General features: G+C 48.5%; 2 annotated features.

Moving 5' to 3' along the window:
• Positions 14,725-15,019: an enhancer, noted in NCBI's record as "tiled region #1535; HepG2 Activating non-DNase unmatched - State 13:Ctcf, and K562 Activating non-DNase unmatched - State 12:CtcfO". NCBI's record gives its function as "activates a minimal TATA promoter and a strong SV40 promoter by Sharpr-MPRA in HepG2 and K562 cells {active_cell/tissue: HepG2 | K562}" and the evidence as "EXISTENCE:reporter gene assay evidence [ECO:0000049][PMID:27701403]".
• Positions 16,331-17,275: an enhancer, noted in NCBI's record as "NANOG-H3K27ac-H3K4me1 hESC enhancer chr12:130529633-130530577 (GRCh37/hg19 assembly coordinates)". NCBI's record gives its function as "activates a minimal SCP1, AML or CMV promoter by ChIP-STARR-seq in naive H9 embryonic stem cells {active_cell/tissue: H9 hESC(naive)}" and the evidence as "EXISTENCE:reporter gene assay evidence [ECO:0000049][PMID:30033119]".

Raw genomic sequence — 19,277 nt, 5'->3', positions numbered from 1 at the left:
CAAATTTCTGTAGCGGGCTTGAATTTCTCCCCCCAGTGGGTTTTCTTTTCTATTGCATGATCATGCTGCAAATTTTCCAAACTTTTGTGTTCTGTTTCCTCTTGAATGCTTTGTAGCTTAGGAATTTTTTCCACTACATACCCTAAATCATCTCTCTCAAGTTCAAAGTTCCACAGATCTATAGGGCAGGGGAAAAATGCCAGTCTCATTGCTGAAGCATAGCAAGAGTCACCTTTGCTTCAGTTCCCAAGAAGTTCCTCTTCTCCATCTGAGACCACCTCAGTCTGGACTTCATTGTTCATATCACTATCAGCATTTTGGTGAAAACCATTCAACAAGTCTCTAGGAAGTTCCAAACTTTCCCACATTTTCCTATTTTCTTCTGAACACTCTAAACTGTTCCAATCTGCCTGTCATCCAGCTCCAAAGTCACTTCCACATTTTCAGGTGTCTCTTCAGCAACGCCTCACTCTACTGGTAGCAATTCACTGTATTAGTCTGTTCTCACACTGCTATGAGGAAATACCAGAGACTGGGTAATTTATAAAGGAAAGAGGCTTAATTGACTCACAGTTCCACTTGGCTGGGGAGGCCTCAGGAAACTTACAGTCATGGTGGAAGGGGAAGCAAACATGTCCTTCTTCACATGGCAGCAGGAGAGAGAAGTGCCAAGCAAAGGGGGAAAAGCCCCTCATAAGACCATCATATCTCATGAAAACTCACTCTATCACTCTATCACTATCAAGAGTACAGCATGGGAGTAACTGCTCCCCATGATTCAATTACCTCCCACCAGTCCCCTTGTATGACACATGGGGATTATGGGAACTACAATTCAAGATGAGATTGTGGTGGGGATACAGCCAAATCATATCACCCCCCTGCATGGTGATGGGCCTGACTCTCTCCTCCTTATACAGCTGGAGGAAGAGGAAAAGAAGGACTATGAGACGAGACTGCCCCATCATGGCACAGTGTGTGCTGGCAGGAGGGGCCTGGGTAGAACATCCCACCAACACACCTGCCATCATCTGCAGGACTGCTCACAAGCACTTGCTCAATGCTGGGCAGTCCATCCACTCAGGGCTCACAGTGTCACATGTAACCTTTCAAACAATCCCATGCTGGGGACTATTTTTATGCCCACTTTATGGATGAGAAAATCAGGACTCAGCGTGATGAAGGCAGTGGCCCCACACCAAGGAGCTCATAAGTGGTGAAGTCAGGGTTTGACCTAGTCTTACACCAATGGTCCTGTTCATGGAACCGAGTGATTCTACATTTTCTCTGGAAGAAGGAGCAGACAAAAATGTAGACACAAAGAAGATAAACAGGAGGTGGATAGGTGGAGAGTTCTATGAGGACCAAACGCAAGATTATTGGCAGAGGAAATGCATACGTGTTAGACCAAGAGGATGCACTCATTCTCAGGGTGGCCATTGCAGACTACCATAGACTGAGTGGCTTAAAAAAACAGAAATTTATTCTTTCACAGTTCTGGTGGCCAGAAGTCTAAAATCAAGGTGTGGATAGGACCATGCTCCCTGCAGAGGCTCTAGGGCACAATCCTTCTTGCCTCTTCCAGCTCCTCGTGGCTCCAGGCATACTTGGCTTGTGGCCGCTTCACTCCAGTCGCTCCATCTGTCCTCATGTGGCTTCTTCCTTCTCTCTGTCTTTCAGTGTCCAAATCTCCTTCTCCTTTCCCTTATAAAGACACTCATCATTGGATCACCCTAATCCAACTGATCTCATCTAGAGACCCTTAACTAATCACATCTGCAAATACTCTATTTTGAAATAAGGTCATATTCACAGGCTTTGAGTGGACATGAATCTAGGGTGTGGGAATGACACTATTCAAGCCACTTCAGGGGACGTGGCTTTCTACAGTCTTACCACAAGGGGAAATGCTGGCTTTCTGTGAATCTCCCACCAATGTTTTTCTCTCTCAGCTTAAGTGGTAACACCCTGGACTCAGCTTTGGATGTCCTCAAATCGCATTCATATAGAGTCCAGGGCAGAGAGAAACAAATTTTTCATCTGTGTATTTCTTTTAAAATCGTCTTTAAATTATCTTGGCATGTGGCACCTCTGCTACGTTCATCTGGAGCTTGTTCAGATAAAAAAGCCACATCATCAAAACTTTTATCAGCAGGACAGACAGCAGCGGAAACGCAGCAGAGACTTCCCCCAGAATTTCCTAGAAAATATTATTGTTTTCTCTGCACATCTGAATCACCATTGCTGAAGTGCCTGTGGGAGTCCACTGCAAGGTTCAAGGGGAAAAGTTTTGATGTTTGAGGGCTGGTATGGACGTTTTGCCCCAGAAGACCTGCCTGTAATCTGTTCCCAGGCTAATATTCAAAGATGGTTGTGGATTTAGTTAATATTCTTGGGGGTGGTTCACAGTTCACCTCCAAGGGTATCCAGGAGGAATGTTAATCTACTGTCCCCATTTTTGTGTTTTTAAGAGGAAGATTCTGGCTGGGCACAGTGGCTTACAGTGCTTGCCTGCAGTCCCAGCACTTTGGGAGGCTGGAGTGGGAGGATGGCATGAGGCCCGGAGTTTGAGACCAGCCTGGGCAACATAGAGATCTCATCTCTACTAAAAATACTTTTTTTTTTAGATTAGCTGGACGTGATGGTGTGCACCTGTAGTCCCAGCTACTGGGGAGGCTGAGACAGGAGGACCACTTAAGCCTAGGAGGTTGAGTCTGCAGAGATCTGTGATTGTGCCACTGTTCTCCAGCCTGAGTGATGGAGTGAGGCTCCATCTGTGGAAAAAAAAAAAAAAAGGAAGAGGAAGATTCGGTGGGTTTTTATGGGGTATTGGCACGGGTGTCTCCTCCAGGATGACCTTTCTGTCTTCAGATCATTACGCATTCACTAAACGAGACCTGCGTCCTGGCCACAGCTGGGCTGCACCTGTATTCCCAATGGCCTCTGCACGTGGGCAGGCCAGGCAGGTGGTGTAAGCCAGACACACCAAGGGGAACCAGGTAGGTGGGGAAGCCAGGAGGATGGAACAACAAACACCAGATCGTGAGCAGGACGGTGAGTTGCACGGCTGGGCAGAGAAACCCGTGTGTCCAGTAAATCCTCCCCCGGAGCGCTTGACAGAAAACCGTCAAGGAGACTCCTTTTTACTTGTGTGCAGACTTTGCAGATTTCAGAAATAATATCTTTACACTGCCCATGTCAGCATTACATTATCCCTGCCTAGAAATTCTAGGCGGCCATCCATGACTTGGAAACAGTAGAAGCCCAATGCATCTGTGATGGTGAGTTAATCCATGAAGATTTAAGGCTTCTATTTTAACACAAAAACATAGAAATGTGCATTTATTTGCCAATAGTTCAAGAGACAAACAAGATCTTTTCTTTGAGTGTGCACATCCTGATTGATGTCCCGCTTTTCTTTCTTGCATAACCTCGTCCAAAAGGTATCTGTGTGACTTCACGTCTATTTATGTAACGTGGATTGAGGACGCAAAGGGATCTGTGAAGAAAAGCATGAGCACAGGGTTCTTGCATGCATTTCGTGATTTATCACTCAAATCTTTCACTTGTCTGGCCTACATGTACTTTGATGGCTTTTTTTTTTTGTTTTTGCAACCTGCTTTTATTAAATCTTTCCAAAGCATTGAAAGTATTTTTCCTAGAAATGATTTTTGCATTCATATCCCATTGGTTGAGATTATATTTCATTAAACCATACACTGCCAGTTGCAGATACAGCTGGCAAAAGCAGGTTTGGGAATGTAGACAGCCAAGTCTCAGAAACAGGTGGAAGGGGCGTGAGTGTACCACCACTCTCTGACATTCAGTGTGGTCAGGGTTAGTGCATTTCACAGGAGGAAAGAGGGACACCTTTACTTTTATTTCTTTTTTTAGGTTTTATTTTCAGTTCTTATTTTTCGAGATGGAGTCTTACTCTGTCATCTAGGCTGGAGTGCAGCGGCATGATCCTGGCTTACTGTAGCCTTGAACTTCTAAGCTCTAGGGATCCTCCCACTTCAGCCTCCCAAGTAGCTGGGACTACAGGCATGCATCACCACACCAGGCTAATTTTTAAACATTTTTGTAGAGACAAGGTCTCACTATGTTGCCCAGGCTGGTCTCGAGCTCCTGTGCTCAAGCCATCCTCCTGCCTTGGCCTCCCAAAGAGCTGGGATTACAGGTGCCAGCCACCACCCCCAACCAGGAATGCCATCAAACCCGGGAGTTGGAATATTCACTGCACAAGTCTCTCAGCAATGACTCCCTCACCACACTTCTGGAAGACGCCTGGCTACACAAAATCTAAATTCCTCAGAAAGAACTTCACCAGGTGGTTCCTGAATGCAGAATAGGTGCTCTTCAAAGATCTACTTCCTGGGCTACAGGCTTTCTGCCAGCAGAAGTTCTTTTTAGATGTTTCTTCATTCAGAAAATACATGTATCAGTTTCCCAGGCCTGCTGCAACAACTGTTCACAAACTGGATGGGTGAAAACAGCTAAAATTTATTTTTGCACAGTTCAAGAGGCCCGAAGTTAGACATGGAGGTGTTGGCAGCCCTGGTTCCCTCTGGAAAAGCATTCACCTCTCCCCGGCTTCTGGTGTCTGCGGACAGTGCTTGGCATTCTTGGGCCGAGGCAAGCATCCCTCCCGCCTCGGCTCTGTCTTCACAGTGCCTCCCCATTGCACCCCTGGGTCTCACGTCCTCCTTCCTTTTCTTTTATAAAGACACCAATCACTGGATTTAGGGCCCATCCTCAATTCAAGATAATCCTATTTCCAAATCTATAATTGGATTACACCTGCAAAGACCTATTTCTAAATAAGGTCGCTTCCTTGGACATATCTTTTTGGGAGACACTCCTCCACCCCTCCCAATGTGCCGTGTCTCCTGTCTCAGCAGCTGCGAGGCATTTGGCCAGGTGCTAGGGATATCATCATGAGTGAAACAGACGAGGTCTTGGTCCTCATGAAGTCAACAGACCAGTGGACAAGCCCGGCGCGACGGTGAATAACACGCATCACGAGGAATCGTGTGTAAATAGCATCCCGTGGTAGTCATCTGGGCTGCTGGAGATGCCTTCCTTGAAAAAGTTCCCTTGAAGAAGGTCCTTAATATGGACTTTGTTGCCTTTAAGCCAAGCCTCACTGTATTCATTTATTCTCGCATTGCTATAAAGAATTATCGGAGACTGAGTAACTTATAAAGGAAAAAGGTTTACTGGACTCACCGTTCTGCAGGCTGTACAGGAAGCACGGCTGGGGAGGCCTCAGGAAACTTACAATCATGGCAGAAGGCGAAGGGGAGGCAGGCACATCTGACATGATGGCAGGAGAGAGACAGAGCGAGAGAGAGCGCTCAAAGGGGAGGTGCTATGCACTTTTAAACAACTGGTACTCACCATCATGTGAACACCAAGGGGAAAATCCGCCCCCCATGATCCAATTATCTCCTACCAGGTCCCTCCCCAACACTGGGGATTATCAATCAACATGAGATTTGGGTGAGGACACAGACCCAAACCACATCACTCACCTTTGATGGGGAATCACAGAACAGTGGGCTGGATGGCTTTGGACCAGCCTGACAAGCTCCCCCGAGGGCCCAGGCATCTTACTGCCATGCAGGAGTCTTGGATCTGCTATTTTCTGGCTGCGTGACCTCCAGCAACTTACTTAATCCTTCTAAACCTCAGTTGAACTGTCCATAAAATGGGAGGATAATACAACCTGCCTGGCAGTGTGGATGCCCCCTAGGGCTTCCTTAGCCCAGTGCCTGGCCCCTAGTAAGTGCTCAAGAAACAGAAGTGGTTTTATGGTCAGAAAGACAAGTGTCCTTGTCAGAGCCTGGGATCTTCTCCAGGCTTCTTAGTTATATGTCTGAGGATGACAGTGCTCTTTTCTTCTCTTTCTCCTTTTCCTTTGTAACCTTTAAATTGTATGCCAGATGCGGTGGCTCACACCTGTAATCCCAGCACTTTGGGAGGCCTAGCCGGGAGGGATCACCTGAGGTCAGGAGATTGAGACCATCCTGGCTAACATGGTGAAATCCTGTCTCTACTAAAAATACAAAAAATTAGCCGGGCGTGGTAGCAGGCGCCTGTAGTCCCAGCTACTCGGGAGGCTGAGGCAGGAGAATTGCTTGAACTTGGGAGGCAGAGGTTGCAGTGAGCCGAGATCGTGCCACTGCACTCCAGCCTGGGCAACAGAGTGAGACTCTGTCTCAAAAAAAAAAAAAAAAAAAAAAAAAGTATGCCTTGCAGGACTGTAGGGGAGCATTTGGCCCCTTCTTTTCTGGCGGGTCCCACAACCTCTTGAGTCTGCGCCTCCTTACCCACCCTCACTGCTCTCACTGCTGCACCCTCCATGCCGGGAACAGTGAACAGATTCCAGTCCCCCTGCACTGTCGAGGACTCAAGCAGCCCCTGAGCAGCTGGGCAGGTGGCAGGGCTACTGAGCCAGTCCAGCCGGCTCCACAGCCTGGCTACCCTTGAGCAGCTCTCAGACCTTAGGAAGTGACTTGACCACTCAGTGCCTCAGTTTCCCCATCTGCAAAAGGAGGCTGATCATAATGGTGCTCACTGCTGGGACTGGTGAGAGAATGAGAGGGGCCGATGCATGGAGACTCCCATGGGTACGTCCTGGCAGGTAGGGGCGCTCAGGATCGGCTACCTTTGCTTTCCCAGCTCAGGATCTGCTCTGAAGTGAGTGGTTGGTTGTCTGTGTGTGGTTGTGTGTGTGGTTGTGGTTGTGGGTGGTGGTGGTGTGTGTGGGGTTGTGTGTGGTTGTGGTGATGTGTATGTGGCTGTGTGTGGTTGTGGGTGGTGGTGGTGTGTGTGGGGTTGTGTGTGGTTGTGGTGATGTGTATGTGGCTGTGTGTGGTTGTGGTTGTCTGCATGTGTGTGGTTGTGTGTGTTTGTGGCTGTTGTGTGTGTGACTGTGTGTATGGTTGTGTGTGTGGTTCTGGTGGTGTGTTGTGTTTTGTTGTGTGTGTGGTTGGGTGTGTGGCTGTGGCAGTTTGTGTGTGGTTTTTTTTGGTTGTGGTGGTGTGTGTGTGGTTGTGTGTGTGGATGTGGTGGTGTGTATGTTTGGTTGTGTGTGTGGATGTGTGTGGTTGTATCTGTGTTTTTTTGTGATTGTGGTGGTGTGTGTGGTGTGTGTTTTGGTTGTGTGTGTGGTTGTGGTGGTGTGTGTGCAGTGTTTTGTTTGGTTGTGGTGTGTGTGTGTGGTTGTGGTTGGGTGTGTGTGTTTGTGTGTGTTTGTGGTGGTGTGTGTTTGTGGTGGTGTGTGGTGTGCGGCTTTGTGGGGTTTGTGTGTGTGGTTGTGGTATGGTGGTGTGTGGTTGTGTGTGTAGTTGTGTTTGTGGTTGTGTGTGGTTGTGTATGTTCTTGTGTGTGGTTGTATGTGTATGTGGTTGTGTGTGGTTGTGGTTGTGTGTGTGGTTGTGGTTTTGTGTGTGGTGTGTTTATATGTGTGCGGTTGTGTGTGTGGTCATTTGTGTATGCGTGTGGTTGTGCGTGTGGTTGTGTGTGTTTGTGGTTGCGGTGGTGTATGTGTGGTGTGTGTGTGGTGGTGGTGGTGGTGTGGGTGTGTGTGTGTCTCCTGCATGTGACATTTCCCCACAGGCCTCACGAGTTGGAGTCCTGGGTGTCCACACGTGTGTATGCCTGTACGGAGTCCACACACAGACTGCAGTGTGATTTATGCAGAAGTTGTAAATTAGCAGTTCTTAGGCCAAACCTGGTCCATAGATGTTTTCTGTTTCCCCAGAATTTGAGTCTTTACATTTTTTTTTAAATCTAGATTTCCAACACCAATGAAAAGTCATATGTCCCAGCATACGTTCACCAAATGGCGACATTCAGCGGAACGGAGCAGCGGCTTCCCCTTTTCAGATGAGGCCTGCAGTCCCAATTTGCCCCAGTCTCCACTACTCCCTATTGTACACACCTGGTCTCACTGAATCATGTACCTGTTTCAACCCAGCTGACACGCATACTGGTTTCCAGCCTTTTCAAGGTTTGGGCCACTTTGCACTACGTGAATGTGGGTTCCCAGGAATCCTCACAATGCCCAGTGCTGAGCAGGTACCACCAGGGTCCTCATGAAGTGGAAAACAGCACTGGAGTGGGTAGCTCCCCACCTCTCCAGGTAGCACTTGACACCGTGGCCTCTGAACTGTTCAGCAGTTCTAAATTTGAGCTAAATTTTTCTTATGATCAAGCTGAAGAGGGTGAATTCCAGGCTGGCCATTGACAAATTAGTTAGTAAACGCTTTGCTCCGGCAAGAGGCAGCTGTCTGCCTTGAAGCACCAGTGTGATGGCCAGGGATGAAGGCCGCCTCTGTCTCGGGGACTGTCAGCCCGGAAGCCGGGGACTGGGCTCCCTGCCGGAGCTCTGGGGTGCAGTTGTAGCCCACTCACAGCTCCCGACCCCTCTTCTGTGGCAGGAGAAAGGGCAGCAGGCCAAGAAAGCATTCTTCTCTACCTCCTTAATGAAAACCCTGGGCCGGCTGTCTTTCACCCAGGGGCCAGGACCAGCCTGCCTGTGTTTGAATTAGAGGCTGCCACGCCCTTTCGACAGCAGGAGGCCAGGCGGCTGTGCTTCCTCCCTGTTCTGTGTGGCTCACAAAGCCACCTCCAACTCTCCTCCTGAGCCTGGGGAATGACAGACTGTGGCAGGTGGCTGATAAATGGAGAAATGCAGAGGAAAGTGGGGCGCTAGATCCTCAGCAGGTGCAGCCCCGGGAGCCTGCCGCGTGCACACGCTCCTGCCTCAAGCTTGCCCTTCTCTGAGCATCTCAGTTTGTGAAACAGGATCCTGCAGTCCACACGTGGGCTGCCTGTCTCCTGCCACCGCTGGCATTCTTGGGGTGCAGATAAGAACATTTTCCTATCCTCATGTCTTTAAGCATCTACAGGGATCCCTCCTGTGCCCAGGGCTCGCCCTAGCCACAGGATTGCCAGAGAAAATATAAAAATACAGTTAAATTTGAAATCCAGATAAACAATGAAACAATTTTTAGTATAAGTATGCCTCAAATATTTTATAGGACATACTTATACTAAAATATCATTTATTGCTTATCTGAAATTCATATTAACATGAAGTCCTGAATTATTATTATTATTATTATTATTATTATTATTATTATTTTGAGACAGAGTCTCACTCTATCCCCCAGGCTGGAGTGCAATGGTGTGATCTTGGCTCACTGCAACCTCCACCTCCCAGGTCCAAGAGATTCTCCCACCTCAGCCTCCTGAGTAGCTGGGATTACAGGCACCCACCACCACGCTCGTCTAATTTTTGTATTTTTAGTAGAGATGGGGTTTCACCACGTTGGCCAGGCTGGTTTCGAACTCCTGATCCCAGGTGATCCACCCACCTCTGCCTCCCAAAGTGCTGGGATTACAGGCATGAGCCACCATGCCCGGCCCTGAATTTTTATTTGCTATGGCAAGCCCGCCTTGTCCCATGAATGGGGGAAGGGTGTTGGAGCCCATTGCCTGGGTTTGAATCCCAGCTTGGCCACCGACAGGCTGTGTGACCCTGGGCAAGTTACTCAACCTCTCTGTGACCCAATTTCTACATCTGTCTATTGAGATAATAGTGGTGCCCACCTAACAGGAGTGTTGACAGGGAGCAGTGACTGTGGTGGCGCGTGGGAAAGTCCCCACACGGACCAGCCCTGGCTCAGCCTTGGTCGTTATTACCCAGTGTTGTTCAACAATGTCCACGCACAGAGGGTCCTCGCGACCCTGCTAATGCTAGTCCTCAACCTCAGCACTTGGCTTTCTCCACTCCAGCTGCCCTGAGCTTCCTTCAAGCACCAGAAAGGGCCACCTTCCCCTCCGCACCTGTACCTGTCCCATGCCGCCCCCTCTGTCTGGATGGTTATTTCTCTCCGTCATCTGATCAATTCTCTCTTATCTCACATTTAAGATCCAAGGTCATGTTCCCCACTCAGTCAGCAAATATTCATTGAGCACCTATTACAGGCAGGCTAGGGGGCAGCCAACGACGGCTCTGGGACTGAACCCAGATCTAGTCTGCCTGCGAATAACTATTTTTACATTTTCAAATAATTAGAAAAAATCAAAAGAAGACTACTTCGTGACACATGAAACTCAGAGGAAAGTCAACTTTCAGTGTCTACAAATAAGGCTTTATGGGAACACGGCTGCGCTCCCTCACCGAGATATCATCTGTGGCTGCTGTGTGCCCTGGCGGCAGGGTGGAATGCTTGCCACAGAGACCGCAGGGTCTGCAAAGGTTGAAGTATCTGTTACCTAACCAGGGACAGAGAATGCAGAGAATGCATATGCCGACCCTGATCTAGACGCCGGGCATAGGGTGATTAAAGCAAACAGAGAAAAGCAACCCCAAAACCCACACAAAACTCTTTGGTCTCAGAGAAGCAATATTTGGGTGGGAAAAGAGACAGGGGTGTGTGCGAGAGAGAAACAGAGAGAGAGAGAGAGAGAGGCGCGAGTCAGATGATTCAGAAGCTTGGGGCTGTGCTATCAGGAGGATGGGTGTTAACTGTTCTGGTGGGGACAAGTGTGGAAGGAGATGGTGTGTGGAGGAAGACTAAGAGTTTGTTTGGGGACTTGAAGATTTTGAGAGGCCTCTCGGGCATGCCCATGGCGATACTGATGGGGCAGGTGTGCAGGTGCATCTGAAGAAATAACTTTAGAGTCATCAGTTTATAGATGGTCTTGACCCGGGGCATGAGTCTAAAGAGAGAAAATCCTTTCCTGACCTCAAGCCTAAGTCACGTTCCCCTGGAAGATAACAGATGTTCGCTATGCTTCTCTGATGAACAGACTCTGGTTTTTAATTGTTTCAGACCATGGGTTCTGTAGCTTGACTGCCTGGATTCAAATCTCAGCTTGATGACTGAAAAGCGGTGTGGCTTTGAGCAAGTGGCTCACCCTCTCTGTGCCTCTGTCTTCATCTGCAAACTGGGAAGAATAATGGTACTGCCTGATGGGCTTGCTTCCACGATTTAGTAAGCACATCTGTGTAAAGTGCTTTGAACAGTATCTGAAGCATAATCAGTAGCATATAAAGATGCTATCTACCATGATTATTCCGTAATGAGACTCTGAGCTCCCTGAGGACAGGATCTGGTCTCGCCTTCTCATCACTGCATCTCCCACTGCCCAGCACAGTCTCTGCACACACATGGCCGTGGGATCATTGCATCAATGGCTTTGGAAGGACAGAGGGGCAGTTGTCCCCTCCTCTAGGGAGTGACCTGAGTGTGAAGGGGCTGTGGAGGGGAGGGGCGGCCAGGGCTGTAGGAGGAAGGCTACCCAGAGTCCACCGAGGGAACAACGTGCTCAGGGGACAGAGAGGAGAGGTGGGCAGGGCACAGCAGCCCTTGGGCCAGGAGGGCAGGTTGCGGCTGAGCCACGGAAGATCCTCAACATCGAAGTATGGAGACTGATCTTTATTTTTTGAGAAGCAGGGAGTTACAAATTTGTCTTGGCAGGGACAGAGCATCTTGGAGGTTGAGAGGGTGAGGCCAATTCAATTTGGGGAACTCCTAGTATATTAATAAAACAAACAACTGCCAAGACAGGGTTCTGAAAATCTGGGGCTTATTTAAATGTTAACCCTGCCTGGGTGTGGCTCTATTATAAACCTCAAAGAGAGGCAGGCAGGCAGATAGAGTGAGTGACCCGTTAGTGGTTGTGAGATCATTTTAGACTTCAAACCAGAGTTTCTTATCTGAACCATAACATGTAGAAAATGATCTAAGCAAATACTTTCTCAATTCTCACAAAAATGGATTATAACTAGTACCCCTCTAGGTGCCTAGGATAAAGGTTGATGATTGATATACAATGAATGGCTGAGAACGTTCAAGCTTAATTCTCTCTGGATCCTGGTTGAGAAAAAAAGTCTAGAAAAGCAAAGCTAAGGTGGAAGGATGAGTAGGGAATAAGGTAAGTTAGAATCTGGGATAGGACAGGGTGAAATTGAGTAGAGTAAGATTGGTAGAAAGGAATAGGATAGAATAGAATAGAGTAGAGTAGAGTAGAGTAGAGTAGAGTAGAGTAGAGTAGAGTAGAGTAGAGTAGAGTAGAATAGAATAGAATAGAATAGAATAGAATAGAATAGAATAGAATAGAATAGGCTAGGCTGGCATGGAACAGAATTGCCCAGACTGAAATAAACTAGAATGGGAAATATCACAGGGCTGATGCATGGCACGTGTGTAGGTTCCTGACCCTGTGTCACTGGATGTGTGCAGATTGTGATAGAAAGTGAATCCCTTTCTCTGAGAAGCAGCCAAAAGTGCTTTTGAGGTAAAATGAAACTGACGGGTCTCGACTCTCAGGGCCCTCCATTACCAAATACACGTGAGATCCAACCACACGCCCCCTCTCCAACCCCGACTCCTCAGAAGAGGAGTGATCAACTTGTACCTCCCTCAGGATGTCCTTAGGACAAGACATGGCAAACCTTTACGAGAAAGCCCGACACCCAGTGGCCAACGCGTCAGCTGTCAGGCTTAGGAGATAAGGTTGGCCTTTTATAGTGTTAAGTCTTTGTGAATTGGATCCTATTCCCCAGCAAGATTGAACCCACCCAGGGAGGGATGCAACAGGGTTTGCGAGGTGGGATTGGAGAGGTGAAAAACCTGGAGCCACAGTGAATCAAAAGAGCGTTGCCTTGCGATTTCCAGGGAGGAGCCGTGCAGACCTGAATTAAGGCAGAGACCTTGCCAATGGGAAAGGGGTGAAGTTAAGACGTGTGTCAGCAAGACTGGGATTCTGGAGGTGAGAGAGGAAATGTAGCAGTCAAGATTCAGTTACATGAATAGAAGTCACTCCAGCTACCTTACACAGGAAGGGATTGAATGCAGGGGATTGGGTGCTCACACTCGCTGGAAGGCCTGGTTGCATAGGGCCCCTGAATCCTGCAGAACTGGCCCCTCAAGAGACCTCTCCCACAGCAGGGTCTGCTCACATGAGGAAGACACTTTGGCTATGACCCGAGGGTCAGGAAGAATCCACCACCGACTCACAAACATCAGCTCTAAATTCATGGTATGTGCAAACTCACATGCCCTGGATGGATGTTCGCACGACTCCACCACTTATGAGCTGTGTGGTCTCTGAAAGCTTATGTAACCTCTCTGACTCTATTTGCTCGATTTAAACATGAAGATGAAAATAATAGTGCTTAATTTATGGTTTTAAGGGTTTTTTGTAATGAAGTAAGTTATGTTCGTAACGCGTAAATGTCACTTAGCTATTATTAGAAAAGCTTGCATTTTGTGGAAGATTTCAGAGTTTTTAACAGAATAGGGCTCACACATGTGACTTTGTTGTTTATTCAGTGAATAGGCATGAGGATTTGTGCTGTTGGGGGCCCAAAATATAGGAGGGTGGTGATGAAGACAAGGATATCTGACATGGATGGGCCACTGCAGTCCATGACACACCTCTGTGGATTAGTCATAAGGTGTTTTCCTGCCTACAGACTCGACACTTCAGTCCCTGCTTTCTGCTCAGCCAAGGTTTGTGCAGTGCACAACCTGCTCAACTGTACTGAGGCCTTGAACCCAGGAGCTTGTATTTTAATGAGAAATACACAGCACATGCAGGGATACCAAGATAACAGGGCTTGGCCCTTGCCCTTTGGGTCCTCAAAAGTCAGGTGAAAGAATAAGCAAATCCCCCTGGGTTCCAGAGCCAGGTTCTTGGGAAGTTACTTGGCCACGATGGGCCTTGAGCTAGCCTCGAGGGTCAAGTGCAGACCTTGACAAGTCGAGAGGGTGACATATTCTTTCAGGAGGAGGAGGGAGCAAAGTCAGAGCAGAAGAGGGAACAGCTGGTGGTCCAGCGTGGCAGGGTTTCAGCAGAGGAGATGTCCAGTAGTCTGGCATGGTAGGGTCTCAGCAGAGGAGGGAACATCCCATGGTCTGGTGTGGCAGGGTCTCAGAGGAGGGAATGAATAGCAGTGGTCTGGCGTGGCATGGTGTTGGCAGAGGAGGGGACGTCCAGTGGTCCGGCATGGTAGGGTCTTGGCTGTGGGATGCTGGACTGTCACCCGTGGGGGTACCGATTGCCAGGATGTGGATTTGGGGCTTTATTCTTGTGGCGGTAGGGAACCAGGAAAGGTACTCAGCAGGGGCGGCACCAGTGCTATGGTGTAGTGTGATCATGAGATCTGAGACAGACATTCCCCAAAACCTTCTCAGTCCACCAGCACCTTCGTGTCTTAGTGATGTTTTCATAGTGCCCTAGGAGAAAGAAACACCTGTTTCATTTATGAAGTCCTCAGGTCCAAATAACTTAACAGAAGTAATTTGCAAGGTGTCTGACAGATGTTCCTGTTTTCCTTAAAAAAAGAAAACATTTGCATGTGCTATGATGAGTTGGCTGCACGCCCCGTGGTACCTCAGGAACACACTTTGGGAACAAAGAGGCCGTCTAACCTCAAGTTGTGGCTCAGAGTCACCACATTGCTGTTTCAGCTTCCTCTTTGGTAATTTGCATAGAGGAAAATTGCATCCCTGCCGTGGGGTGGGTATGAGTCCCGACCTCCTAGGGTTGTAAGCTGGAATAAATGAAATGATGCATTCAAAGCGGTGAGCAGAGAGCATTGCGGTCATCTCCATTATCAGGGGCCTGGGTGCAGCAGGACCTGCTCAAGGCAGGTGGGGTTGGGGCCCCGTTTGGAGGCCCTGTGTTGGTTTGTGGTCAGTGGGGACTTGGGCTTAATCAAGGAGCTCTGCAAAGTTCCCCACAAACACGAAGAACAGCACCCAGGATAGTAGCAGTGCCGGGGCAGTGAAATGACCCAGTGAGGTTTTCCGTGTTTTTTTCTTTTTTTACCCAAGTCTTGCTCACTCATGCCACCTGCAGGCCAATGGGGAAACTTTCTTTTTATTTTTTATTTTGTTTTGAGGAGTCTTGCTCTGTCGCCCAGGCTGGAGTGCAGTGGCGTGATCTCCGCTCACTGCAAGCTCCGCCTCCCGGGTTCACGCCATTCTCCTGCCTCAGCCTCCCAAGTAGCTGGGACTACAGGCACCCGCCACCACGCCCGGCTAATTTTTTGTATTTTTTGTAGAGACGGGGTTTCACTGTGTTAGCCAGGATGGTCTTGATCTCTTGACCTCGTGATCCACCCACCTCGGCCTCCCAAAGTGCTGGGATTACAGATGTGAGCCACTGCACCCGGCCAGGAAACTTTCTGTTGGCATCATATGGGAGCCATTTCTGCCAGGGGACCTCAGTGGTTCTGTCCCAGCTGACGATTAAAATCATTAAGGAACTTAAAAAAAATACTGATGCCTGAATCCTATCCCAGACCAAATTAATAAAAAGTAAAATCTAAGGATGTGAACTGGGTGTCTCGGTTTTTGTTGTTGTTTTTGTTTTGTTTTCTTTCTTTTTTTTTTTTTTGAGATGGAGTCTTGCTCTGTCGCCCAGGCTGGAGTGCAGTGGCACGATCTTGGCTCACTACAACCTCTGCCTCCTGGGTTCAAGAGATTCTCGTGCCTCAGCCACCCAAGTAGGTGGAATTACAGGCATGTGGTACCATGCCCAGCTAATTTTTTTTTTTTTAATAGAGGCGGGGTTTCACCATGTTGGCCAGGCTGGTGTCGAACTCCTGACGTCAAGTGATCCACCTGCCTCAGCATCCCAAAGTGCTGGGATTACAGGCGTGCGCCACCGCACCCGGCTGTTTTGTTGTTTTTTTAAAGAAACCTTCATGGGAATCTGACGTTGGGAACTATGGTTGATGGTATTCCCCAACTGCAGAGATGTCCCTGGTCACCCCCTACCGAGGTGCATTCCAGCTTCCAACTCTTTGCTCCAGCCCCACCGTGGGCAAGCTCGCTGCGTGCCTCCATGTGCCCACGCCCGCCCACTGGAGGGATCTCATTTAGATCCAGATACCTGGAACCGCTGGGTCGTAGTGAGTGCACTGTGAGTTTTAAAATGTGTGCCAAATTGCCCTAAAGTGGCTCCAATTTACACCCCCACCAATGAGAACCTTTCCTTAACACCTTTCCCCGTACATGATAATGTCAAACTTTAATATTTTTGCCAATCTGATGAGTAAAACATTTTTAATGGCACCAGCTAAAAAAGAATGGCAGAGACTTTACATACGAGTTTGGTGAGATCTCTGAGATAAGTTGCTGAGGGAGAGATCTAAGTTGCAGGATATATAAAAACACATTGGCAGACAGGCGGAAAATGTGTCACAGGAGATGGGGCAGAGATTCCAGCTCTGAGTTCCACCCTGCGGTCACTCCATGGGGCACACATCCATGCAGGAAAATGAAAAGCGAAGGATTCTTTAGGTAGAGTCAGTGGGATGTTCTCCTTGTCTGGAAGGGTTTAATGTTTTACAAGGAGAATGAGTTTAATTATATCATTAGAGGTTAAATTTTAAAACACTTAAGGAAAAATTTTATGTGTGTGTGTGTGTGTAGGCGTGTGTGTGTGTGTGTATAAAGAGAAAGGGTGTGAAACAGAGAGGGAGAGAGTAAATGTAGTTAAATGTAGTAAGGTGTTCCTTCTTGGGGTATTTGAATGAAAGGATCCAGGAATGCTCTCTGCCAGTCTTACAACTTTTCTGTAAGTGTGTCAGAAGAAATTACCCAAAAAATCCCCCCAAAACAACCCTCAAAACTCAAAGGAATAAACGAGGTCGGGTTGCCGACCGCCTGTGGTCTAGGTCAGCTCCTGCCCTGAAGCCTGTGAACCCTGGGAAGTGGAGCCTTTGAAAGGAGCCCCGGAGGGCAGCCCAGGCGGACAGGCTGCCCCGGCGCGAAGGAGGACAGGCTGGCAAATCTGCAGCACAGTCACGCCTGGATCCGTACTCTGTCCCGCCGCCGACAGAGGACAGAGAGCAACTTCCTCTTCAAAGACCATCCTGCATAAGCCAAAATGCCTCCTGGGACTGAAGTTCAAAGTGATTTCGGAGGAGATCTGTTTGGTGCCACTGTTTGGCCTGGGGATTTGAGCGGATTACTAAAGCCCTGTGTTCCAGGCAGCAGTAACTCGGGGCCTCAGGTGCGAAACGGCCTTTGATAAACGTGAGCTCTTTAGAGGCCCAAACAAATTGAGGACAAAGCAGCTGGGCTGCTCAGGAGGGGGCCGGCTGTTGACCCTTTCTTTCCAGTCTTAGGAAAACAAATACTTGATATTCCAAAGGCTGAGTAAACTCATTAAAAGGATCTTGGACTTCCTGCCTTTGCGCACAGCCCTTGGAAGCTTCTCCGCCAACCCCCGGAGAGCAGGAGTGGGGAGGGTTGGAGGCAGCTCCCTCAGTCCTGCATGCAGACCGCAGCCACTGACTGTTCCCGAGTCACCAGGCCACTCTTCTCTCCTGCCTCATCGTCTTATTCAGGGTCCACGTCATTCTGCCACCTATTTGAGGACACCAGGCCTTGGCTGTTTCTGCTTCTTGTACCTCCTGAGTCAGGTGGCGGTGGGGGAGGGCAGACGCCACACACACCTGGGTCCACTGGCCGCACGGCTCCTGGAAATGCTAGTGTGACTTTCCTAAGGGTTCTTTCAAAGGACACTTTTAGACCTGCCTTTTGTCCCAAGGATTCTAGTTGCTTCATCTTTAGTACCACAGACTGGTGGCTAAACAACGAACATTTACTCTGCCAGGACAACCTCGCTGCCCTCGTGGTTCCCAGCACCCGCCCGGACCTCCACACCAGGCTACTGTTTCCCCAAACGAGTGAGTGTCCTACTCCCTTCCGGCAGCCCTGACCTTCTCCTGCCTCGGATTCTTTCATTCTCTTCTCGGCTCCTAAATTCAAGCTCCCCTTATAAAGCTCAGCCCAGATTCCCATGATAACGTGCTCTGCGATTATTTGCCGATTCCATCAACATTTTTTGAGTACCTGTTGTGTGCCTGACACCTACGGCACTCAGAGCTGGAAGTGGATCCAGCTGTGAGCAGAACACAGACCCTCGGGGATCCCCCAGCCTGCTGGTAGAGACGACCCCCATCCAGGGAGATGCGGGAGCACCGAGGAGAAGCCCCAACCCTGGGGTTCATGGATGGCTTCCTGGAAGAGGAAGCAAGGTGAAGTCAGAGGCTAAAAATGCACACATTTGCAGGTGTTGAGCAAGTAGTGTGGACGCGTGAGCGATGAGGCACAATAGAGCATGAAGGCGCGGGCGGTGGCAAAGGGAACTTCGCCATCTGGGGAGGCATCCTCTGCCCAGCTTTGATCACTCCCTGGGATGTGAATAGGAGTTTATCTTGCCAGATATATGATCTTCCAAGGTCACAGGATTTTGCGAATTTGTATCAGATTTCTCAGTTTTTAAATGTTGCCAACTTGTAACTTTTTAAAATAGTCAGTGGACCATACAAGACACAACTGTAGGCCAGGTGTGTTCTGCAGGCCCTTGTTGCAACATCTTGTCTAAGTGGAATTCAGCCAGGTGAGAAAACAGTAAACAGGCAGAGGACTGGCAGGTCCAAAGGCCCTGTGGGGGAGAGGGCCTCCCCTGTGATGTCCATGTGTACTTTCACCTATTTGGCAAATATTTATCCATCCCCACCAGATGTCAGCCACTGTTTGGGAGGTGTGTGTGCACACATACAAACACATATGCAGGCATGTGCGTATGTGTGCATTTGGAGCAATGTATGTGCTACACATTTGTATGTGTGTATATGTTTGCAGGTGTATTATGCATGTACACATGTGTGTACATGTATTCAGGGGTATATGTGTGTATATATGTGCATGTGTTTTTATGTATGCACGTATATAGTGCATGTGTGCATGTGTGTATATGTATGCAGGTGTACATATGCACACGCGTGCATGTGTGTATACGTGGGTGTATTGTGTGCATGTGTGTATATGTATGCAGCTATATGCGTGTGTGCATGTGTGTATGTAGTGTATGTATATGCACCATGCATATGTGCATGCCTGTGTAAGTCCATATATATGTGTGCACATGCATGCACGCGTGCATGTGTATGTACATGTGTTCATGTATGTGCGTGTAGGTGTGGGTAAATGTATGCGTGTGTGTGCATGTGTTCATGTATGTGCATGCAGGTATGGATAAATGTATGCTTATGTGTGTGCGTGTGTTCATGTATGTGCATGCAGGTATGGGTAAATGTATGCATATGTGTGTGTGTGTTCATGTATGTGCGTGTAGGTATGGATAAATGTATGCATGTGTGTGCGCACACATTCATGTATGTGCGTGTAGGTATGGGTAAATGTATGCATGTGTGTGCACGTGTGTTCATG

The sequence above is a fragment of the Homo sapiens genome, chromosome 12 (genome assembly GCF_000001405.40).
Source record: "Homo sapiens chromosome 12, GRCh38.p14 Primary Assembly".
Taxonomy (NCBI): Eukaryota; Metazoa; Chordata; class Mammalia; order Primates; family Hominidae; genus Homo; species Homo sapiens.
This window is presented reverse-complemented; position numbering and strand designations above follow the sequence as displayed.